This window comes from Homo sapiens, chromosome 14 (genome assembly GCF_000001405.40).
Source record: "Homo sapiens chromosome 14, GRCh38.p14 Primary Assembly".
NCBI lineage: Eukaryota > Metazoa > Chordata > Mammalia > Primates > Hominidae > Homo > Homo sapiens.
In genome coordinates, this window is record NC_000014.9 from 52,863,969 (window position 1) to 52,888,464 (window position 24,496).

General features: G+C 38.5%; 1 protein-coding gene and 1 long non-coding RNA gene across 9 annotated transcripts in view, besides 3 other annotated features; one reads left to right on the forward strand and one right to left on the reverse strand.

The window, feature by feature from the left end:
• Nucleotides 1-24,496, forward strand: part of LOC105370500 (uncharacterized) — a 138,447-nt gene that overhangs the window by 72,181 nt on the left and 41,770 nt on the right. The window lies entirely within an intron of this gene.
• FERMT2 (FERM domain containing kindlin 2) overlaps nt 1-24,496 on the reverse strand; it is a 93,778-nt gene that overhangs the window by 6,696 nt on the left and 62,586 nt on the right. For 4 of the 7 annotated variants that reach the window (NM_006832.3, NM_001134999.2, XM_006720010.4 and 1 more), the window contains exons 5-12: nt 17,276-17,501; nt 17,068-17,170; nt 14,614-14,721; nt 11,255-11,389; nt 10,209-10,258; nt 8,831-8,955; nt 779-885; nt 433-654 (exon numbers count right to left, since the gene is read on the reverse strand). In NM_006832.3, the coding sequence (NP_006823.1) occupies nt 433-654; nt 779-885; nt 8,831-8,955; nt 10,209-10,258; nt 11,255-11,389; nt 14,614-14,721; nt 17,068-17,170; nt 17,276-17,501 (1,076 nt within the window). Of the gene's footprint in view, nt 1-432; nt 655-778; nt 886-8,830; nt 8,956-10,208; nt 10,259-11,254; nt 11,390-14,613; nt 14,722-17,067; nt 17,171-17,275; nt 17,502-17,827; nt 17,861-24,496 lie in introns of all 7 variants that reach the window. The other 3 variants (XM_005267285.4, XM_006720009.4, XM_006720008.4) reach the window with 1 other exon arrangement.
• Nucleotides 9,203-9,497: a silencer, noted in NCBI's record as "tiled region #8176; K562 Repressive non-DNase unmatched - State 24:Quies". NCBI's record gives its function as "represses a minimal TATA promoter and a strong SV40 promoter by Sharpr-MPRA in K562 cells {active_cell/tissue: K562}" and the evidence as "EXISTENCE:reporter gene assay evidence [ECO:0000049][PMID:27701403]".
• Nucleotides 19,931-20,456: an enhancer, noted in NCBI's record as "H3K27ac-H3K4me1 hESC enhancer chr14:53350617-53351142 (GRCh37/hg19 assembly coordinates)". NCBI's record gives its function as "activates a minimal SCP1, AML or CMV promoter by ChIP-STARR-seq in primed H9 embryonic stem cells {active_cell/tissue: H9 hESC(primed)}" and the evidence as "EXISTENCE:reporter gene assay evidence [ECO:0000049][PMID:30033119]".
• Nucleotides 20,457-20,982: an enhancer, noted in NCBI's record as "H3K27ac-H3K4me1 hESC enhancer chr14:53351143-53351668 (GRCh37/hg19 assembly coordinates)". NCBI's record gives its function as "activates a minimal SCP1, AML or CMV promoter by ChIP-STARR-seq in primed H9 embryonic stem cells {active_cell/tissue: H9 hESC(primed)}" and the evidence as "EXISTENCE:reporter gene assay evidence [ECO:0000049][PMID:30033119]".

A 24,496-nucleotide genomic window follows, 5' to 3' on the forward strand; every position in this document is an offset into this window, starting at 1 on the left:
TGTGTCCTTATCTGTTCTATTAAAATGATAAAGATTTTTTTTTTTAATGACCAATTTAAACTGACTAAAGGTTACTTTATTTTCTACAGATTGAGTATCCATTATCCAAAATTCTTGGGACCAGAAGTATTTTGGGTTTCAGATTTTTTTGGATTTTGGAATATCTGCATTATACTTACCAGTTGAGGATCCCAAATCTGAAATCCAAAATGTGCCAATGAGCATTTGAGAGTCATGTTGGCACTCAAAAAGTTTCAGATTTTGGAGGATTTCAGAGGTTCAGATTAGGGATACTCTAACTGTATTTTATATTCTAACCATCTGATACAAAATTAAGACTAAAAAGTTTTGTTTAAGAGGGGAAAAACAAAGTTATGTACAAAATTATAAAAACAAACCAGCACAGTAGATGAAGTAAAATGAAGTAAGTACCTGCTTGTTCTTATACTTTTTTAGATAGCGGGGAGACACCAAACATTCAGGAGTTATATCAGTCGTGATCTGCTCTGGTATTAACTGAGGATCTGGGTTTAAATGCTGCATCTTCAGAAAGGAAAGAATATTCTGAACTTCTAAGTTGTAAGAACTGTCCGCCATGGTCTTGCCTTTGGAGGCTAATCTGCAGGCTGCCATCCAGTGTGCATACTGTTTTTCCTGGAGAAAAGAAATACTGATGTGTGCAATGTATCACGAGGTGGGTCTTTCAAGTATAAAATATAAGGATGACTGGTCAACTCATTTAAGAAAATTGAAGTGTATTTTTAACTGGAAAACTTACATTGTCACAACGAAGCCAGATTTCATTCATGCCTTCTGCAACTGGAATCAGGAGTTTAATGTTAAATTTTTGGCCTGAAATGTTTACATCTGGGGTAACTTCACATCCTGTAACAAAAAATTTTTATTAAAATGGCTAAATTTACTTTTAAGAAATCTCAAGTCAATACAAGCAGCCCTCATTCTGTGGCATCTTAACATGTTGGATTTTGCCATAGTATTTTATGAAGGCATCTGCTGCAGAAGGTAACATACACATATACTTGGGAAGCTGGAATGAAAACAACTGTATTCAGGCCAGGTGTGGTAGCTCACGCCTGTAATCTCAGCACTTTGGGAGGCCGAGGCGGGCGGATCACCTGAGGTCATGAGTTTGAGACCAGCTGACCAACATGGTGAAACCATGTCTCTACTAAATACAAAAAATTAGCCGGGGGTGGTGGTGGACACCTGTAATCTCAGCTACTTGGGAGGCTGAGGCAGGAGAATCACTTGAACCTGTGAGGTGGAGGTTGCAGTGAGCTGAGATCGCACCGTTGCACTCCAGCCTGGGCAACAAAAGCGAAACTCTCTCTTCAGAATTTCACTTTGTAGGAGGCTTTACAGAAGGGAGTGCAGATTTACTGAACTAGGTGTTAGATAATGGCATAACAGCTGGCATAAACAAGTAGTAACAGTATAATAAATACAGTGAAGTAGAGCTCTGCAGTCAGAGAGACTTGGGTTGCAGACCTTTCTTTGTCACTTATTAATAATAATTATGGGCCATTTAACTTCTGTAAGTCGACATTTCCTGACCTTGGACTCTACCTCACAGGGATGATTTAAGGATAAATAAGATAATACACTGTCAAAGCTTCCTAAAGCTTATTCCAATTGTCCAAGAATGACATGAACAAAGCACAATGTCATATGATCATGCAGTAGGCTCTACGAAGAAAATTTTAAATTGTTAGTAGGGCTTGCTTTTTCAATTCCTCTTGGCACAGAATATAAGATCATACACACTCCATATTCAGAAGAACAAATGTTAAAATTGTCATTTTCCCTGTCTACATAAATATTTTAGTATTAAATAAAAAGAACACTTTAGATAAAGGAGAGGCCCTCTTTATTCTCCTCCCCAGAAGCAACTCCTACCATGAATTTTGTAGATTCCCCCCTGCCCTTTGTTTTCTTTTTAAAATATTTACTACATATGAATTTCTTCTTTTATATCTCCTTTTATACAGGCTTTAGAATGATGAGAACATGTGTGACGAACTGTTTAATGTGCAAAGTTGAAACAGTTGTTTGAAAGTACACAATCTTTTGCACAAATATCATTAATAATTCAAGAGGATTTACAGTACACAATTCCATAATAATTAGGCCTCTTTTAAAAAAACAAGAAAACTAAACAGGGAGAGACAAAGTGGGTGGTAACTCAGGCACTAGTGTAGGCTCAGAGGCCTACAGGGGCCACATCTCAAACACCCATTCCATGCCACCTCAGCTACCTACTTCCACGGCAACCACTGGACTTCCTCAGTTACCCAATTAGTGTACATCTGAAAGATGAAATGCAAACAGCCAATTCTGGTCACAATCTCTAATCCTAACTCTTTGAGGAACCCTATGCTGCAACCCCTCCACTTTCTCCCCAACAGCAACAGAAGGAAGCAACAGCTCCCTCCTTCCCAACCAGCCTGGACCACATTCACTGGACATCAACTCCAACTGCCGAGACTCACTGTCTTCACATTATACATTCTCCTAGCAAAATCTGCACCCTAGGTAAATAAATCCCTCTAACTTTTCCTTGCCTATACTCAGGCTGCTTAGCACTGCAAGATGGGAAGAAGCAAGAAAAAAAGGTTTCACTACAGATTCATGGATACCAACCTCAGCTGGGCCCTTTATGCTTGCATCCTTCTGTGCTTATACAGACATTTTCAACAATGCCTATTTCAAATCTTCTCAGACATCCTACAATGTCACTTGGTCTCAAGGGACAACTCCACCTCTTATGTCTCCAAGAAAATGAAAGCCACCAGAAGTTAAGTCCATCCATTTCCTGCCACCGTACAAGATAAACTTAGCTGTCCTTGCTTCCACGCAGTGCAAGAGGCATCCCTCATCCTCCAGCTTTCCTATCCAAGTGGGCTGAGTTCATTACCATCCGAGCAACCCTGCTCCACCACTGAGATCCTCCCTCTCAGACACTACATTTCCTTCTTTCTACTGCCACATTTCCACCAGCATTTAATTTCCTTGAGTCTCTCCCATCTTACACCACAACCTACCTCCCTTTTCTGTTACCTCTTTCCCCCTTCCTTGTCATAGATAAAGTTCATTAAAAAGCTTTGCCTCCTTTTTTTTTTTTTTTTTAAATAGAGACAGGGTTTCACCATGTTGCCCAGGCTGTTCTCAAACTCCTGGGCTCAAGCAATCCACCACCTGCCTTGGTCTCCCAAAATGTTGGGATTATAAGCATGAACCACCGTGCCCAGCCATTTTTGTTTCTTATTTACTTCTCAGTGACTGTACTTTGGCTCCATACTCAATAAACCACTGAAGTCTACTTAACTTGTTCTTATCAAGGTCATGAACTACATGGCTAGATACTATGTTGGCCTAACTACCTTACTTTACTACAGTACTGGACATTGTTGACTACTCTGTCCTTTTGAAACAACTTTTATCTTAGCTTTCATCATACTTCACTGCCATAGTCTTCCTATGCATTTTTTTTTTGTTTCCTTTGCAAGGTCCCCTTCTTCTAACCTGCCCTGTCTCTTAAACATGGGTGATCTGCAGGGTTCTATTCTTCATCTTGTCTTCTCACATTACAGACAACCATTGCAATGGCTGCACTTACCATTACTGCTAACTGTTACCCTATCAGTATCTGTAGCATGTGCATCTCTCCCCTAATCCAATGTCTACAGGCTAGCTCCAAATAGACATCCCACAGGCACCTCAAATTCAAAATATCCCCAAATTAAACTCATCTTTCCCCCCAAACCCAGCTCCTTTTTCTACATTCTTCTCATCTTCTACATTCTTATCTCAGTATCACACTATCCACCCAATTGCACAAATCAGAAAAATGACCCCACTTCAACCTCCTCCCAAATAAGTCACCCAGACTATTGACCAAACTTCCTCAGTATCTATTCAATCTGCCCCTTTTCTCATCCCATGTTGATTACCTTAATTTGGATTACTATCATCTCTCTAAAATGACTCCTCTGCACCATAACTGGTATAAATATGGATCTTGTCATTTTTGTGTTAATGTTCTTTCAGTGACACGTCACTGCTGCCAGTTCAAAAAGCAATCTCCTTACCATTTTTATCATCTAATGTCTGCCAGTTTCTTCTGCGACTACCTCTCATGTTAGCAGGAATCAGATTCAATAGCTATTAAGAAGTATTCATCCTTCCCCTTAAATTCTATTTTCCAGCAGCACAAAACTCTCTAGGCATTTTTTTTTTTTTTGAGATGGGGTCTGGCTATGTTGCCCAGGTTGGTCTTGAACTCCTGGGCTCAAGTAATGCTCCCACCTCAGCCTCCTGAGTAGCTGGGATTACAGGCATGTGCCACTGTGCTTGGCTCTCCATCCCCGATGAAGTCTCTCCATCCTCACTGAAGATTAAGTTATAGAACACCCTTACCCCTTGCTCTTTTCCTTTCCTTTCCAAAGTACTATTTATTACCCCAATTGTAATTTTATCTCGCCAACATGCTCTAAACCATCCTGAGGATTGAGACTGTAAGTGGTTCTTCCTTGTATCTCTAGTACCCAGCACAGTTTGTGGCACAGGAGTTCACTTAGTATTAGCTGAAATGAATTTTTAATAACTTTGCATTTTAGATCTCTATGAAGCCTTGGCATCCAGTCTAACACTCTCATTTCTCAGAAGAAGATACTATAGGCCCAGATGTGCTATCTTTCCAAAATCACAGATCTAAACCAGGTGTAGTGGTGTGCACCTGCAGTGTCAGCTACTCGGGAGGCAGAGGTGGAAGGATCGCTTGACCCCAAGAGTTGGAGATAAGCGTGTACAACATAGTCTCAAAAAACGAAACAACAAAAATCATAGGGCTTGTTTAGTAGAAGAGCAGCATCCAGACCATTTGATTCTTGGTCAAGGTGTTATCAGTGCGGTGCCTGTGATGAGTGCAATGATCAGTGTGATGAGTCCTTTGAGAGGACTTGGGAGCAGTGGGATGAAAACTGAGAACAGCTTATAAACTTATTAATTCCATGCCAGGACCTGACCTCTTAGTTATACAGGAAGAAGGTTAAGATATAACAGGGACAGTGAGAACAGGGGCCAGAAGACAGATTTAGTCTCAAAGTCAACAGTGGATCATTTACGCTGGTCCTGGGCAGCTGAAGAGGGAAGCAGGAGAAGGTTGCAACAGATCCTGAGAGCAACAAAGAATGACAGAGACCCAAAAGTGAAACGCCCGTGACTGAGAGAGGAAGGTAGTGACCCTAATTAAGAGTTTCAGGTAAATTACAGAATTCCAAAATGTGGGAATAGCAATTGTTTACCCAGGACTGAGTTTTTCTATTTTTTAAAAATTTGTGTAACTTTAAAAGCAATAGTTTAAGTGACTACTAGGCAGAGCTCATGTACTAGGGTACAGATTTCAACACTGTGTTGAAATACGGTAAATCTATCCTAATGTACAATATACAGTCACGCATTGCATAACAGCATTTCGGTAAACAACGAACTGCATATACGACAGCGACAATGCCCTCATAAGACTATAATGGAACTGAAAAATACTGCCTAGTGACACTGTAGCTGTATCATAGCTCACATCTGTGTAAACAAACCTATTCTGCTGCCAGTAATAGAAAGATGTAGCATGTACAATTATAAGTAGTACATAATACCTGATAATGATAAATGACTATGTTACTGGTTTATGTATTTACTATACTATTCTTTTCATCATTATTTTACAAAGTACTTCTACTTAAATAAAAAAGTTAACTGTAAAACAGCCTCAGACAGGTCTTCAGGGGTATTCCAGAAGAAGGCATTGTTACCAGAGGAAATGACAGCTCCATGCTTGTTACTCCCCCTGAAGACCTTCCAGTGAGACAGGATGCAGAGGTGAAGGACAGTGATATTGATGATCCCAATCTCGTGGAGGCCTAGGCTAATGTGTGTGCCTGTGATTTAAGCTAACAAAAGGTTAAAAATAAAAAATAAAAATCTAAATACAAAAAAACATATAGAATAAGGATATAAAGAAAATATTTTTGTATAGCTGTACAATGTTTAAGCTACGTGTCATTAGAAAAGGGTCAAGATGTTAAAAGTAGTTATAAAGTTACAGTAAGCAAAGGTTTGAAGAAAGAAAATTATTGAATAAAGTCTATAGTAGCATATAGTAATGTCCTAGGCCTTCATATTCACTCACCACCCATTCACACCCAGAGCAACTCCCAGTCCTGCAAGCCCCATTCATGGAAACTGCTCTATACAAGTGTACTTTTTTTTTTTTTTTTTGGAGACGGAGTTTCGTTCTTGTTGCCCAAGCTGGAGTGCAATGGCGTGATCTCAGCTCACCGCAAGCTCCACCTCCCAGGTTCAAGCAATTCTCCTGCCTCAGCCTCCTGAGTAGCTGGGATTACAGGCATATGCCACCATGCCCAGCTAATTTTGTATTTTTAGTAGAGACGGGGTTTCTCCATGTTGGTCAGGCTGGTCTCCAACTTCCGACCTCAGATGATCCGCCGCCTCAGCCTCCCAAAGTGCTGGGATTATAGGCATGAGCCACCGCGCCCAGCCAAGTTGTACCTTTTCTAGATTTAGATATGTTTAGATAACAAATACTTACTATTGTGTTACAGTTGTCTACAGTATTCAGTACAGTAAAATGCTGTACAGGTTTGTAACCTAGGAGCAATCGGCTATACCATATAGCCTAGGTGTGCAGTCAGCTATACCATCATGGTTTGTGTAAGTACACACACTCCATAATGTTCACACAATGACAAAATCACCTGGTGACACATTTCTCATAATGTATCCCTACTGTTAAATGATACATGACTGTACTAAGTACAATTTAGGAATATGAATCAGGAAAAGCACCTCTGTGTTTTAAGTGTTAAATGAAATTGTTTTGGGAGTCATTTTTGTGAAATCAGTCTGGAGCCCTTTTCCCTGGTGCTGTTGTCCACATCGGAATACTTCGAGTTAGAAAGGCCTTATCTACAAAAATATGTGTACGTACAAATGTACCCAAAGAAGAGATGGGCTGGGCCACTAGGAGTAACTCAGAACTGGCTTGCCAAGGGTGGCGCAACCTTTGCTATAATCAAGCAGGTGGGAAACCAGGAGACTATGGCTGCAGGTGTTAGCTCCAGCGCCTAGTAATACCTCCCTCCTTTCATTTTCTGTGTCTCTAACCCCTTAGCTCTATTCCGAATTTAAGTCTCCCATGAATGCACCTGACTGGAATCTAAGTCTCATTGGAAATGAGTCTAGAAAGTGTATTTTAGTTTTTTAGTCTTTGCTCTTCTAAGGGAAGATACAGTGAGAGGACTGTGGAACAGACAGTGCAGAGCCAGCTGATTGACTGCATCATCCAAAAGGCATGCCATGTGCCAAGGGTGTGTGCTCACGGGAGAGTGGTCCTCAGGGGATACAGCTTTCTGGAGAAGTGGTATCTACACTGAAAGTGAACCAGGTGATTTTATTGAAAAGTATTACCCCAAGTGAGAGGCTCATTAACGCTCTGCAAAGAAATCACAGTGAGCAGCAGAATGCCATCTACCTGCAGAAGAACCAGACTAATCTGGAGAGGAAATTCGCCTACCAGCTGAGCCAGGGCATCATCAGATGAAAAAGGTGAAAGAGCAGTATGAAGAACCAATAGAAGAAATCACTGAAATAGAAAATTAAGCTGTAGGTCATAGACCTTACTGAAGAAAAGGAAAAACAAAATCCAAAACAAAGCCAATAGCTGAGGCTTCATCCAGGCTTAGCCCAGGCTGTAGGAAGCAGGCCTGCCACAAACGCCCTGAGGGAAAGGAAATGAGCAACCCAAATACCAGACCCTAGTTCTGAGATAGCTTTGGATTTGAAAAGACAGGACAAGAGAAAACCAGTGAGACTCAAGGTGTCAGCTAGAAGCCTCCGAGGAATATCCTGAAGCGGCCTCAAAAGCCAGGATGAGAGCAAAGACAAAACTGTGTGAGGAAGAGGTGTTGGGGAAGGGGAAGGGGAAGGACTTGCCCAAACCCTGAAAGTGTCAGCTACTCTACTGGCGAGCCAGGAAAATTCAGAGGCTGAGGACCCTGAGTGGGACCAGCCTGTCATCAGTGAGGGTGAGGAAGAGCAGGATGTCGAAGAAGAAAGCCCAGGGATGACTACAGCGTGGCTTAAAATAAGGCAGAATCCAAAACAGACAAGGAGGCAGCCCCTGCAGAATAAGGAAACTCTAAATGTCCTTAATGCTGAAGATCAAAAGACAACGTAAGCTTACTTGACAAGTTAGAAATGCAGAATCAGCTTGGTGTGGTGGCTCACGCCTGTAATCTCAGCACTTTGGGAGGCTAAGGTGGGCAGATCAATTGAGGCCCGGAGTTCGAGACCAGTCTGGCCAACATGACGAAACCTTGCAGCTGGGTGTGGTGGTGCACACCTGTAATCCCAGCTAGTGGGGAGACTGAGGCAAGAAAATCGCTTGAACCCGGGAGGCAGAAGTAACAGTGAGCCAAGATTGCACCACTGCACTCCAGCCTGGGTGACAGAGCAAGACTCCCTCTCAAAAAACAAAAAAGAAAAGTTGAATCATACATTTCAGGTCAAGTCTGCACAAAGAGATTACAACAAAATATTTATGTGGAATTGAATACTTCAAACCTGTGAAAAGGACTATGTAAAAGAGACATATCTAAACATTTTTCAAGTACCCAAAGGAGTAAAGAAATTGATTTTTTTAAAAAACTTGTTTATCCCAGCAAGTGGCTCATTGACTATTAGGCCAATGGGGATGCCACCATCAACAACAGCCGTGCCAGGCTCTCCTTACCCCTGAGGTTCATCTGATGAGCTGGTGTGCCACTGGATTCTTCTTTGCTCTTATAACAAGAAATGGATGTGTCTTTGAAGGTGCACCAATATTGTTTGTAACCTTTCAGAGTCAGCTTTTTTGGCCTATGTATCAAAGAGAATTAACAACAAAATCACTTGGAAGTAACTTTATTAACGCTGTATTAGCAAAGTTTCACAATATTAATTTAAGTCTGGGGTCAAGTTTTACACGTGCTGAAATTGATCCCCCTTGGTCAGCGTCTTATTAGTCAGTGCTACTGTTACTGGATGCGAGCCTCCCTTCTCAATCTACTCTAGAAGATCCCACAAACAGCGTTCCGAGGAGAAAGGCAGTAGGGCCTGTGTTCCAGTATTCTGCAGCTGTAGCCATCACATCTATCACTAACTAGCAGGTCACATGGGAAGGGTAGGAAAAGAAAGGTGAAGTAAATGTCAGTAATTGGAAAATTCCTAGATCCTGTAATTACCTGCAGGTTTATGGGTGTCTGCAGGATTGCCTTGGAGCCTCTATAAAGATGCAAATTTACCTGGCAGGACTGAAAGTGGGGGATGTGCTTCTTTCTCCGGGGTAAATTCCAATGGTGACATTAACTTGCCACTCCAATATCAAACACAGAAGGAAGATGACAGAGCAGTCATGAGGATGTGTAAGGAAAGGTGCAGGTAGATGAGAAAGGTGGGTCAAGGGGGAAGGAGAAAGGGTAGGGTAGTGGATCTGAAATCATGCCCTTATCTCAGAAGTTCCATATTTTGAACTGCTGTATGTTCAGCTATGGTAAATGGTTTATTCTAGAGTAGTTTTGTATCTTATATAGTAGAAAATAGTACTTTCCACATCACCTCCTTTTCCTTTTTCTCCTCTCTGCCTTAATGCCGAGCTCTCTTGATTCTGTGGAATATAGCTGGATAGAGTGTTAAAAATCTTGATCAGATATACTAGAACTTTACATAAAATGTTCCATGAACAAATGAACAGAGTTCAATAGAATCTTGCGCTCTGAACGAGGAAATAATCGCTGGCAGTGACACAGTTCATTATGTACTGCTTCCAACTGAGGCCCGGAGGGGCTGTGCCACTGTATTACTATGTTTCAGCATCTGTATGATGCAATCTAGGTTTCACAATCTTTTTTTTTTTTTTTTAAAGAAAAATCTGATAAAAGAATGAGCATTGTGATTTTAATTTTGTAAAAGTGGTTATTTTCTCTCGTGGTAATTTGGTGTTCACCTAACTGGTAAATCCTTTTACAGTAGATGCGTTTGTTAGTCAAACTTAACAGTTAGTTTCAATAATGTGACCATGACTATAAAGCTGACAGTTATTAATATTTGGCATCCCTCCTTTTTGTACTTACTTGAAAACTTTAATGTAGTCAGCAAGTTCAGGAATGGAAGTAATGTCACCCTAGGAGAGAGTTAAATCCTTTTTTAATTTTTTTAATATTTGAAATTCTTTCTAATGTTTGGTATCTGATATCAAGAACTAGCTTACTTAATAAACAGAATGACATAAAATACAATGATAAAGATTTAAACAACAAAATCACATTACATAGTCTTGTGGACCATATTCTTCTTGGTACAAAGGCATTTTCAAATAGCATAAAAGGTTAACAAAATTTTCATCAAAATGGCAATTTATACAACCCATGAGAATATGCTATCTTTAATAGTGCTGAAACTGTTTGTAGGTGCATATAAATCTGTACATTGTAAAAGGCCTGAAGTGTTTCTTCAGCAGTAACTAATCCCTATACTTAAAAACCAAACCCAGTGTTTCACAATTTTCCCGAGATCTATTTTCTTCTTTTTGTAGTATTTCAAATGTGCACATCACTAAGTGGATTTTTACCATGACTTGAGATTATTTTCCTCTGCAGAAATGTCTTCCCACCACTTGTAAAAGAATTTGCAGAGTATTAGAGTATTAGATCTATTCTTACTGTATTGAATGCACTAGAGACTAATACATTATTACTTTAAAAACAAACTTCCCAGTGGTGGCGGGAGCACTGCTTAAGGCCAGGAGTTTGAGATCAGACTAGACAACACAGTGAGACCCCATCTCTTAAAAAAATAAAAAATTAGCCAGGTGTGGTGGTGCATGGTTGTAGTCTCAGCTACTCAGGAGGCTGAGGTAGGAAATGGCTTGAGCCCTGGAGTTTGAGAATGCAGTGACCTATGACGTGTGCCACTGCACTCCAGCCTGGGCAACAGAACGAGACCCTGTCTCAAAATAAACCACTTTGCTCAAAGTTCCTGAAAAATTAACATCTGATTTCTCTCTCTAAAGCATTAAATATTTCTCTCCACCACCCCCAAATACTTTGAACCTAAATCCACAAAATGGAATGCATCAATTCAAGCTAAATTAGTAGGTAAAAAAAAAGATTCACCCTACCAAAATTGTTGACGTTTTACCCCCTTCCAGAGTAATCTCCAGGTCTGAAAGGGCAGCATCAACTTCATCAACTTCTTTGTCACTGTTGTTCAAATGATTCTCTGATGTCATGATTGACAGCTTATTGATATGATACTGAAACCAGAATTATTTTATTAAAATAATTGCTATAACTGTAAAACTCTAAAATGAAATTACTATCTGAATCTATATTTAATGCTTTTCAGGACCTAATTTGAAAAGACAGAAGCGTCTAGGAACTAGAACGATAGGAAATAAATACCTGAAATCAATATCCTAAACCTGCTAATAAATACTTATCCAAAAGAAGTAGGGTCTTTGGACACATACCAATGAATTCATCATTTGCGGGCTCTAAGACTTAAGAGAGTTAACTGGTCCTCAACTGTACTTCACATTAACAGAGATTTTTGACTTTTTTTTTTTTCATTGTAATCTGCCCTGTGTCTATAACAGGGCCTGTTATCAAGAAATATTGAATGAACATACAGAATATGCATAAGGTCTTTTGTAGAAACTGATGAACACTGAATGCTGTACACTGCTCCTATTACCCAGGAGAAAGTCATCATTATTATGTCGAAAGCTAAAACTCCACTTTTTCCCCATCCTTGCTTCATGTTCTGTATTCTCATATCTAAGAATGTTTGTACGTGAGTACGCACATGGACACCCACATATACGTGGGTGGGGTGGGGGCAGAGAGAGAGTAGTGAGTAGTGATGACTACTCATATGTAGACAGGAAAATTTTTGGATACAGAATAGTTACTGATTTTAAATATACTTCAGTAAGTGACTTAGAACAAATATTATGTTAAGCCTTAGGTTTTCTACAAAGGTCAGCAGAACCTTTAAATCTTAATCAATTACCTTTCAAAGCAACAAGTGGCACTCCAAATGTCTAAAGTATTCATTTAATACATTCATTTCATGGGAACATTTAGTGAACTAATCTGAGGCCACTTACCAATGTTCTGTGTTTTAAGATTTAGTGATTGATTGGTAATGAATAGTCTCTGACTACTTCAATTGTGCTGAAATGAGATCTTACAATTGTAGAAATGTCAATGTTCATAAATTATGGGAAATGAGGTAGAGGTTGAGGCCCTCAGGTCCCAAATGTCAGAGTATATTAAGAGTCTGGTGAAGAATTGGTCAAAAATACAGATCCTTAGGTTTACTCCAGAGATCCTGATTCAGGAAGTCTGGGGTCCAGCCTGGAATCTGCATTTTTACTCACTGCTCTGGGTAATTCTGATGCAAAATGTCTTTATGAGTCATACCGGAGAAATCCTGGCTGTGAATGGGACTTAAAAAATCCAGCTTTGCTTTCAAAAGTGCAAGGGATATCTTAAATTTCTTAATACATACTCTGACTTAAATGCTTTAAAAACAATGTTACTAATTCATCTACTTTACTTTTTATCCCCACCTTCTTGTTTTGTATTATTCTGCTTCTTTTTACTATTGTAAATTTACTTTACACAAGGATCCAGATGTCCCAAGGAGAGTATACTTCGGAGTATAGGTTCTCTCTGAAAGAAAAAATTCTAGGCATCTCCTCCTCACCATACTTTCACAGTTTCCTTATTCTGGTACTAGTTGGCTTCCTACAACCTTAGGGTCAGTCTCTGAGAAAGCCTCCAACAACTCAAATCTGTATGTCAAAATACTCTCATTATATCTAGATTCTAAAATGGTCTTGGAGGGCTATGGTTTGAGACCATTCCATTTCCATGAATTAAAACCTGTGGTCTCTGAGGTGTTCCTTCTGTAGTGATATGGAATGCCCAAGATACACTCGGGGAGGTGGGCTGCAGAATCATGCCATTCCTGTGAGAACACAACTGTGTGTACTCTCATTTTACAAACACGTTTTGAGCACCTACTATGTGCCAGGCATATAATAGGCATCTGTTGGTTTTAAAAACAATAACCATAAACATGTACTATTTTTTAATACAAAAATAAAGCAACAGTATAAAATCTGTGGTCTTTCACACATATTTTACAGGTATTATTATTCTATCATTGGCAAAACCTCCACTAGAAAATCATAAGCCTGTATCAAAGTGAGGAGGATGCAGGAAGAAAGCCATAACCACGTGAGGGGACTCCCAACAAACTGCTCCAGAATTTAATTCAAGAAATTCACCAGAGAGTCAGAATTATCTGGAAACACAATACGGGATCCTAACTGGCTCATTAATCAAGTTCCTAGAAAATAACTGATTAATCCATCTGTCACCTGGGATTTATTTTCCTTGTCTATGCTTCTTTGCCACTCCTTTCATTATGTAAAACTAAGGTGAAAATTAGCTGTTCTTGCTTTTTTTTTTTTTTTTTTTTTTTTGCTAACCTCACTCCCCATTCTTGCTTTCTAATGTCAACTTTTTGGGTCACAACTGAAAACTTTTCTGGATGCATAAAGGAGGCATTTGGAAGACTGAGAGCATTTTTGTTTGTGTTCTAAGGAAAAACAAAATCCCTTCTACAGTGAAAAGTTCTTCAACTGAATGTCAACTCTGCTTCCTGTACTTCTGTTATTTATAGAACACCAACTTCATCAGGACTTTAGGCTGAACCTAGAATCCCGTCATAACTGGGAATACTTGCCAAAGCATTACTCGGGTATCTGAAATTTAAGAAAGATGAATTAATTTGGTCATCAGACCTCAGTATCTGTAAGAATGTGGATGTGTGGATGCCACCTTAAAGTTATTCATGAAGTGGATAATTAATTTTTAAATAAGCTCCCCTATAATTCTGAAGGAGGTGGTATGTAAGAACCACATATGAAAAAACTGGTTTAATCTAAGGACAATGTTAGCTATCTACTTAAGGATTATCATTGTAGAAAAAGGTTTGGTTCCACTAGTCTCTCTAAATCTTATCACCTAAAAGCATCGCTTTGCTACAGCCCATTTTATAGTGTGTTGTATCATCCCTGGCTATTTATGAAATTATACAGGTAAGCTTCAGATTAGATTTCAGAAATCTGATTTTTAATAAATATTTTCTTTCCAAGGAAAAACTGAGGAGCTTTGAGCAGATTTATATTTGGGGGTGAGAGGATAATTTTTTTCCTACAAAATAGGATAATTTTTTTCCTACAAAATAGAGAAAAGTACTTAAGTATACCACTGAACTCTTGGAAAAGATAAAAAATCAAACTAAAATGTATTTGTTTTGCTTTCCTAAGTGTCTACTCACTTTCTTCATGGCAAAAATTCTGTCTCGTGAAATGTTACTGGAATTACTATTCCACTTTACTGTTTAAAAATACCTCCCTACCCTTTACCGGAATAAGTCCCATTTACTAGACCTTTCAACTACCTGCAGGGCTGCAAACATCATCATTTCTTCTTCTGTGCATTCAATCTCTTCCAGGAGAATGGCCCATTTGGCCTGCTCGTAAAGCTGATTGATTCTGATTGCATCATACTGCAACAAGAGAAATAGTTCTTTTGTAATATATAACCTTTACCATTGAAAAATTTCAAACTCTGAATATTCAATTGACAAGAAAAATTTAATGCTTTTTTTCCTGGGATCTTAATTTACAAGCAAGAATTTTTATTTACAATCAAGTATTATTAGAAGGATACCTATGGGGTCAGACATGCCTATATATGCCCACATCTAATTTTCCATTAAAAATGACATTAAAATATGACAGAGAATAATTGATTGTACAGTATTAAAAAGTAGATTCTGTATGTTATTTTTCAGGGAAATAACCACTAGACATTATAGCCTTTAACATAAGAAATCTAATTTGATGACATTAAAGTAAGGCGGAACTACCGATTATTTTTCAGTGTTATTACTGCAACTTGCCATACAAACATGTAATCAGAAAGCAAATTATTCTGGGGAACATTTTGTTCACTGTGGAGAAGCATACCCAGATAAAGTGGCAAGTCCTTGGAAACGGCAGTTATTTTAAGTATGCAAAATACAGGGCAAATATACTTGTGGAAAATGTTTACTTATATGTTATTCAATTATCCATTTAATTATATAAATAAAAGTCAATAGTAATGCCTTAAGAATACTGCAGATTGAGTATCCCTTATCCAGAATGCTTGAGACCTTCTGTGTTGAATTTAGAATTTTTATAGATGATGGAATATTCCATTATACCAGTTGAGTGTCCCTAACATAAAAATCCAAAATGAGCATATCCTTTCAGCATCATGTCAGCCCTCAAAAGTCTTAGCTTTTGGAGCATTCTACATTTTCAAATTAGGAATGCTCAACATGTATTTTAGAACGTTGACAAAATACATCTCCATTCCCCTCACAAATGTAACTATTCCCAAAGTAGCTTTGGCTTTACTAAAAGTAGGTATGATGTGGCCTGAAAATGAATTAAAATTATTTTCTATAATTTTATTATAGAGATTTTACTGTTGTATAAAGAATTACTTAAGCATATAATAAAAGAATGTAAACATAACATTAAAATCTAGACTATACTCTAAACATGAAAAGGATGAGAGGGTAGCCAAGAGAGGTTTCTTTCCCCAGGCTGAAAGAGAAGTAAAAGATTCAAACCTCTGTGCCAAGTGTTTTCTACGGGGGAAAAAAGCTCCAGATATTTATGGTAAAGTTAAATCTTACCAGAAAAGTGAAGTACTATGGTAGCAGAGATAATACCAATCATAGTAAAGACAAGTAACAGTGTTTGTCTGTTACAGAGGAAAAAAATGTAGACCTAAGAAAAATTTGGCTGAGCATGGTGGCTCAGGCCGGTAATCCCAGCACTTTGGGAGGCTGAGGCAGGAGGATGGCTTCAGCCCAGGAGTTTTGAGACCAGCTTGGGTGAAATAGTGAGACTCTGTCTCTACAGAAAATAAGAAAGCCAGGTGTGGCTGGGTGAGCCTGTAGTCCCAGCTACTTGGGAGGCGACGTGGGAGAATGGCTTGAGTCCAGGACTTTGAGGTTACAGTGAGCCATGATCATACCACTGCATTCCAGCCTGGAGGACAGAGTGAGACCCTGTCTCAAGAAAAAAACGTTTTTTTGAAGCAACATCTTTTGGCACGTAATTAGTAATCTAAAAGTAATTGAAAAGGTAACCTTTTTGAAACTTTTATTTAAATATAGTTGAAGAGAGGTCTTATATTTTAAAAATGAACTTTGCCAATTCTTTTTTTTGTTTGTTTGAGATGGAGTCTTGCCCTGTTGCCCAGGCCGGAATGCAGTGGCATGATCTCGGCTCACTGCAAGCTCCGTCTTCCAGGTTCAAGTGATTCTCCTGCCTCAGCCTTCCAAGTAGCTGGCATTACCAGCGTGTGCCACCATGCGTGGCTAGTTTTTGTATTTTTAGTAGAGACGGGGTTTCACCATGTTGGCCAGGCTGGTCTTGAATTCCTGACCATGTGATCCGCCCACCTTGGGTTCTCAAAGTGCTGAGATTACAGGCGTTGAGCCACTGCACCCGGCCTAAACTTTGCCAGTTCTATAGTACCAAAAGAGTACCTTTAAAATACAAATCATGACACTCTAAGAGCTTAGAGATTAAAAAAAAGATAAAACCAAATCAGCCAAAAGTTTCATTATCTTAATAACAACAATAAAAAGGTTTAGTTATGCTTCCAACCTACTAAAATAGACTTATTTAAAATACAAATACCTTTGCCTAAAAGTTTGGGTTTTTAATAATTATTCAAGATTTCCTATATACAAATAATTCCTTATTCCACCGACTTCCAAAAACAAACATCCATGTGAACAAAACAAATTAATGGGGAAAAAAAAAAGATCCCTTTAAACCCTCGGTACCTTTGGATTCAAATCAAAAAAGCTGTAATACTTGAATCGGAGCAGCAAGGCCTCATTTTCCTTCACATCTTGTTCCATGAGAGATCTTGAGGAATCAAGCCATCTGGACAAATTAAGAACAGTGGAACAAAACAACACAGAATGAAGACAATATTTCTACCTCTAGCTGGATGAAGAAATTCAATTTTATCTATATCTTAAAACTTACCCTTGGTTGATTTTTGCTTTATCAAGAAGAGCTTGAGGCTTGAACATTTTTGCCAAGATTTCTGGTGACGTGATTGGTTGACTGACAGCAAGTATACCAGGATTGCCTTCTGACAAAGCACTGTCACCAAACCAAGCAGAAGTTGGTGACAAGGGGCTTCCATCATGAGCATCATAAGTGGGGGTCATTGTTTTACTATACAGTCCTGGGCTTGAATATATACTTCCTAATAAGTAACATGAAAAACAGGTAGTAAGTATGCAGTACAGCATCTTATTTTTCAATAATAACACATATTATGATATAAAGCACATTGTGAAACAAAAGTTTTATTCTGAAAGGAAAGCTTAGTATATTATTTTACCTGTTATGAAAACATGTGTAATTAATTCTCCTTGTATAACATTAAAACACGTAATAAAGCCTTAAGAATATAATTAAGTTGGCAGAAATTCTGGGGAAAAAAAATCAGTTCAAGAGAATTAGAAAATAAGGATATAGCTGAAGCAGACAGACCAACACTTTTTGTCTTTAAATTGTGGCAAGGCTCACCTTTCAGAGGGCCAATGTAAAGAACATCAGTGCCTATAGGAAAGGAAAGAAAGGAATTCAGAAGGTAAAGGAAAGGCCACAACAGAGGACAGAAACAAAAGAATGAAAAGAAAATGAGAAAAAGAAAAAACAGATTTTCCCTAATTGTGAATCATAAACTGAAGTACACATTTCAAGTGGATTTCAGAGTAAAGAACCTTAGAAGCTACAACCTAAGTAAAACGGTTTTTTTTGTTCAATTTAAAAGAATGAAGTTGTGCTGTAGTCAAGTATATAGTGACAAATATGTCTACAACTTTTACCACCATTTGAAATCCATACAATTTGAAGGTAACACAATAGAACTGAATTCATATAGATTAAGAATAATTTTATAGTAAAGTCTTCTCAGTGAATAAACAGGTTTCAACAATTTTACAAATAAAGTTTTTTTTAATTTTTAAGTTCTGGGGTACAACAAATAAAGTATTAATGTAAAAGGGGAGATAAAAGTCTGCCCTAGAAAGAGTCTAAACAGAGATATATTTAATAGTCAAATCTCAAAAGGAAGGGATATTGCCTTATTTATCTTCTGATTTCTTAGTATTAGGGCTAGACATATAGTAGAGGTTACGTAAATAACAATTTGTTACATTAGTCAACAGATGGTATGTGCTCCTTTATTTAAACTACAAAAATTAAGGAGATGAATTTAAGGCATCTAAAAATGTTCAGAATGACATTAAGGACAAGCAGCTCCCCCAAGTCCTAGCTCTGTTAAATTATATTTTGTCCTGTTGTCATAATTTTTCAAAAGAAAATGTGCAATGGGCATAACACTGTTAATGTAAAGAAAATGGCTTTTCCATTCCCTAAATTTAGGGTTAAGCTTAGAAATCCATCTCCTTTCCTACTATTTTTAACTCTTCTCCCCATGCAATGATAGAAACACTGCCTGTGAAAAAGTGGTGCTAATGCTAGAGATTTTTGTAGCTGTCATGACCTAGTCTAGGAAGCAAAGTTAAAAAAAAAAAGTTTTTACTGAAAATATGTAATCTCTTGCTGGACACAGGATATTTGATTTTATGTCCCTGACATGTGTTCTTCCAATGTTAGTACTAAAAAAAACCTGTAAAATCTAGGCCAGGTGTGGTGGCTCACTCCTGTAATCTCAGCACTTTGGGAGGCTGAGGCGGTTGAATCACTTGAGGTCAGGAATTCGAGATCAGCCTGGCCAACATGGAGAAACCCTGTCTCTACTAAAAACACAAAAATTTGCCAGGAGTGGTGGTGCACGCTATTCGGGAGGCGAAGGCTGCAGTGAGCCAAGATTGCATCAATGCACTCCAGTCTAGGCAACAAAGCAAGACTCTATCTCAAACAAACAAACAAACAAACAAACAAAAAACCCTCTAAAATCCGAACACTGTTAATCCTAAAACACAAAGCAAAGTTGTGAACTCTTTATCAGCATTTAAAGAATACTGGGATCGTTAGTCCTGGGGCTTTAAAAGCTAGATCCTTAAACTAGACAGGTATTTTTCAAACTTAAAATTGTGTGACACCTTTTGAAAGGACTAATTGGGCACCCCACACTTATTAAATGTGCTGAACACATTACTCCAACTCAGTTGGGCAAAGGGTATTTCTGCTACAGAGTGTGCATGTAGATAAAGTGTGAAAAAACATTAACTTCTAGGCAAAGTCTTGTTTCTTTCAAAGATCTATTAAATAAATCTGTTACGAAGAATGTCAGTATACTGAAAATGTGCACCTGGTGAGATTATAATTTCTATCCAAAACTGAGTCAAGTTAGAATGGACAATTTGCTTTATAAAGTTTCTAATATAGAAAAGATACTCCCCCTAAATCACTGATATGGTTTGGATCAGTGTCCCTGCCCAAATCGCATGTCTAATTGTAATCCCCAATGTTGGAGGAGGGGCCTGGTGGGAGGTGACTGAATCACAGGGGTGGAGTTCTCATAATGGTTTTGCACCATCCCCGCTTGGTACTGTATAGTCAGTGACTTCTCATGAGATCTGGTTGTTTAAAGTGTGTGGCACCTCCCCACTCCCACCCCTACCTCCTGTTCCAGCCACGTGAAGTGCTGGCTCCTCCTCCGCCTTCCGCTGTAATTGTAAGTTTCCTGAGGCCTCCCCAGGAGCTGATGCCACCATGCTTCCTGGACAGCCTGCAGAACTGTGAGCCAATTAAACCTCTTTTCTCCTAAGTTACCAAGTCTCAGGTATTTCCTTATAGCAATTCAAGAATGAACAAATACAATCACACATTTAATAGAATCAGCCACCCACCCAAATCTGCGTTTCAACTTCCTATAGTTTGTATCTTCTTCAATTCATACTTAATCACTTCGTTGTTCTTATTTGTTCTGTAGGCACTATGTGATAATAAACTCACTTAGCGTTCACAACAACTCTATTATTCTCACTTCAGAGGAGCAAACTGAGGCAAAGCAAGGTTAAATAACTTGTCCAAGGTCAAGAGCAAGTAAGCTGCAGCCAAGCTATAAATCGGCCAGTCTGGGCAGGCGCGGTGGCTCAAGCCTGTAATCCCAGCACTTTGGGAAGCCAAGGTGGGCAGACTGCCTGAGGTCAGGAGTTCGAGACCAGCCTGGCCAACATGGTGAAACCCCGCCTCTACTAAAAATACAAAAAATTAGCCAGGCATGGTGGCAGCCTGCCTGTAATCCCAGCTACTTGGGAGGCTGAGGCAGGAGAATCACTTGAACCCGGGAGGCGGAGTTTGCAGTGAGAGACTGCACCATTGCACTCCAGCCTGGGTGACAAGAGCGAAACTCCGTCTCAAAAACAACAAACAAAAAAACCCCAGCCAGTCTGGCTGTAGGGCTACACACTGCCTCCATGTACTATAACTTACGTAAGCCATTCCCAATTGGTGTGCACCTATTTTTTAAAATTCTGTTACTGTAAGGTGGCTCATGCCTGTAATCCCAGCACTTTGGGAGGCCGAGGCAGGCAGATCACCTGAGGTCAGGAGTTCAAGACCAGCCTGGCCAACATGGTGAAACTCTGTCTCCACTAAAAATATAAAAAATAAGCTGGGTGTGGTGGTGCACGCCTATAGTCCCAGCTACTTGGGAGGCTGAGACAGGAGAATCGCTTGAACCGAGGAGGTGGAGGTTGCAGTGAGCAGAGATTGTGCCACTGCAGTCCAGCCTGGGTGACAGAATGAGACTGTGTTTCGAAAAATAAAAATAAAAAAATAAAATTCTGGCCAGGTGCGGTGGCTCATGCCTGTAATGCCCGCACTTTGAGAGGCCAAGGCGGGTGGATCACCTGAGGTTAGGAGTTTGAGACCAGCCTAGCCAACATGGTGAAACCCCGTCTCTACTAAAAATACAAAAATTAGCCAGGCATGGTGGCATGCTCCTGTAGTTCCAGCTACTCAGGAGGCTGAGGCAGGAGAATCGCTTGAACCCAGAAGGCAGAGGTTGCAGTGAGCCAAGATCACACCACTACACTCCAGCCTGGGTAACAGGGCGAGACTTAGTCTCAAAAAAAAAAAAAAAAAAAAAAAAAAATCTGTTACTAATGTCATTATTGCAAACCAATGCTTCAACAAACATTTTTGTAGTTATTTCCCAATTCTAGCAGCACTGCTGGGTCAGAGGGTATGGGTATTTTAAATTCCTTCATCGTGGTTCAGAGACAATCCCAACTAAGTTGTTTTCTTGAATGTCTGGTTTAAAATGCATCTGAGGCAGCAAACTAGTAAAGTGTAAGATAAAGTAGCAGATTTAGCAACAAAATATGAGCTTACTAAATGACATGGAAAGATAACTTAAAAACTCTAAGGGGGAGAAATAGAGTTCAAAAAGCACTACAGTCTGAGTCCACCTACTGTAGATATTTAAAACCCGATATAATCAAACAACTCCTAAATATTGCTATATTTTAACACAGTAAAATTTACCTAACTTATTATAAATTGTATATTTTTTAAAAAGAGTACTAAAGTAATACATTTTAAAAAATTTTCACCAAAATACCTATCTTATACCATATTTTATCAAAAGAATTTTTATGGTATTATTTTTATATTTTTGGAGAAAATTTTCCCAAGCAAGAGTAAACCTAGAACTATAAAGTAAATGGCTAACAGATATAAGACCACATAAAAATGTAAAACAATATGGTTTTAAAAAAAAAAGGCCACAAACAAAATGCCAGTATATAAAGGGAAGTAACACATTAAAATTTTAATATCACTAAAAGCAAAAATATAAATAAAATAAAGAATCTATCATTTGAAAATTAATAGAATATAAATGGCTAATAAACATATAAATTATTCAACTATCCTAGTATTAGGGAAATGCAAAATAACCGAGATACTACTTATTGTCAAACTGGCAAAAACACAGATTTACAACATTCAATATTGAGCAGAATGTAGGAAATGGGGCATTTTCATGTACTACTGATGGAAGTATAAACCACAGAAACTCTTGGGGGGGAGAGAGAGAGAGAGAGACAGACAGAGTGTGTGTGATATAATGTATAGATATATATGTATCTACACATACATGTATTTTTTTAGAGACAGGGTCTTGCTCTGTTGCCCAGGCTGGAATGCAGCAGTGTGACCACCCAGGTTGAACTCCTGGGCTCAGGAGATCCTCCTGTCTCAGCCTCCCAAGTAGCTAGGACTACAGGTGTACACCACAACGCCCAGCTCTGGGATATATGTGACAGAAAAATTAGATACCACCTAGGTAGAAAAACAGGTAAATATACTTTTTCTATAGGTAAAACTCTGAAGTCATTTATAAGAACTAGGGAGACTTCTCTGCTTTGACACAAATCACTAAAACACTGATCACCAAAAATCAAATTGCAGAGCATAAAATATATATTAGGATCTCATTTATGTTATTAAAATAAGACTAGATGTGCAAATTTTATACCCACTTGTGCATATAAACACACAGAAACGGTACTGTCAAGTTGGACTCCAAACTTACAACCTCGTTATATGTAGTAATCAAGAAATGGCTCCCTCTTGAGAAGGAGTAGCCAGGGAATAAGTTTAAAAGGAACTCACCTTAATTTTAATACATTTTTTATATTACTTGAGTTTATGATAAAGAGACTGTATTCATGTATAAATTTTGTAATTAAAAAATATATGAGGTCCATCAGTATGTATCATCAAGTGAGAAAACACAATGTGTGTATAACACAGTCCCACTTTTGTTAGAAAAAAAATGAATATGTAATCCTGTAATATTTGAATATTTACTATAAGCATGTGATACTTTTGTACTTAAAAGAATAGTTTTAAAAAATGTTTTGAGGCTAGGTGCAGTGATCCCAGCACTTTTTTTTTTTTTTTGAGATGGAGTCTCGCTCTGTCGCCCAGGCTGGAGTGCAATGGTGCGATCTTGGCTCACTGCAACCTCCCCACCTCCCGGGTTCAAGTGATTCTCCTGCCTCAGCCTCCCTAGTAGCTATCCCAGCACTTCTGAGAGACCAAGGCAGGAGGATTGCTTGAGACCAGCCTGGGAAACATGGCAAAACCTCATCTCTACAAAAAATACAAAAATTAGCTGGCCATGCTGGCATCTGCCTGAAGTCCCAACTACTTGGGAGGCGGAGGGAGGAGGATCACTTGAGCCCAGAAGTCTGAGACCAGACTGGGTAACATAGCAAGACCCTGTCCCTTAAAAAAAAAAGAAAGAAAAAATTTAGCAAACATTCCTATTATAATTCATAAAATAAACATTATGGCCAGGCATGGTAGCTCATGCCCATAATCTAGCACTTTGGGAGGCTGAGGTGAAAGGATTACTTGAGGCCAAGAGTTGATGACCAGCCTGGGCAACACAGAGAGACCCTGTCTCTTAAAAAAAAAAGAATTGGTTACTTAATGGTTAGAAGCATGAGCACCGGAGCCTGGATGTGAATTCTAGCTCTGCTCCTTATTACCTTTGTGACCTTGGGAAAATTACTTAACTAAGTAACGAAAATTACTTAACTAAAGTTAACTAAAATTACTTAACTTTAGTTAAAAAAAGTTAAACTTTATTTAACTAAAAGGTTAAATAAAATTACTTAACCTTGGGAAAATAACTCCACTTAACCCTTGTGGAGTTATTTCCTCAGAAGTAAAATGAAGACATCACCAAAACTGCTGGTATTTTGTGGCGATTAAGTGAAAGATTATGTATTCAATAATACTTATAACTTATTTACTATGTATGTAATTGTTGACCATGGAGGAGGAAAAACCTGACATTATATACGTTTATTTCTATGTGGCTAAATTTTCTCCTAGAATATAAATTCATATATTTATTTTGTTTATATCAACAATATACACTACTCTCCAACCATTAAAAATCAGAGACAACCAAGAGGAAAAAAACAAACCATAAGGCTTATTTGTGATTTTGGTTTGCAACCCACTTTCCTACCAAACGAAAGTATTTTTAAAATACGGATTAGTATTCGTATTAGATGTGACTTATAAAAGGAAAAGTATTAGTGGGTTGCTCAATCTAAATTACTATGTCTTAATCAAGGCAGCCCAGCTTAAGAATTCAGTGAAAAGACTGATGCTAACTCAATCACGATTATTCATTAGCTTAAGTTATATACTAACCAGCTTTCCTACAATTTGTCATTATCACCAAGCTGAAGGGAA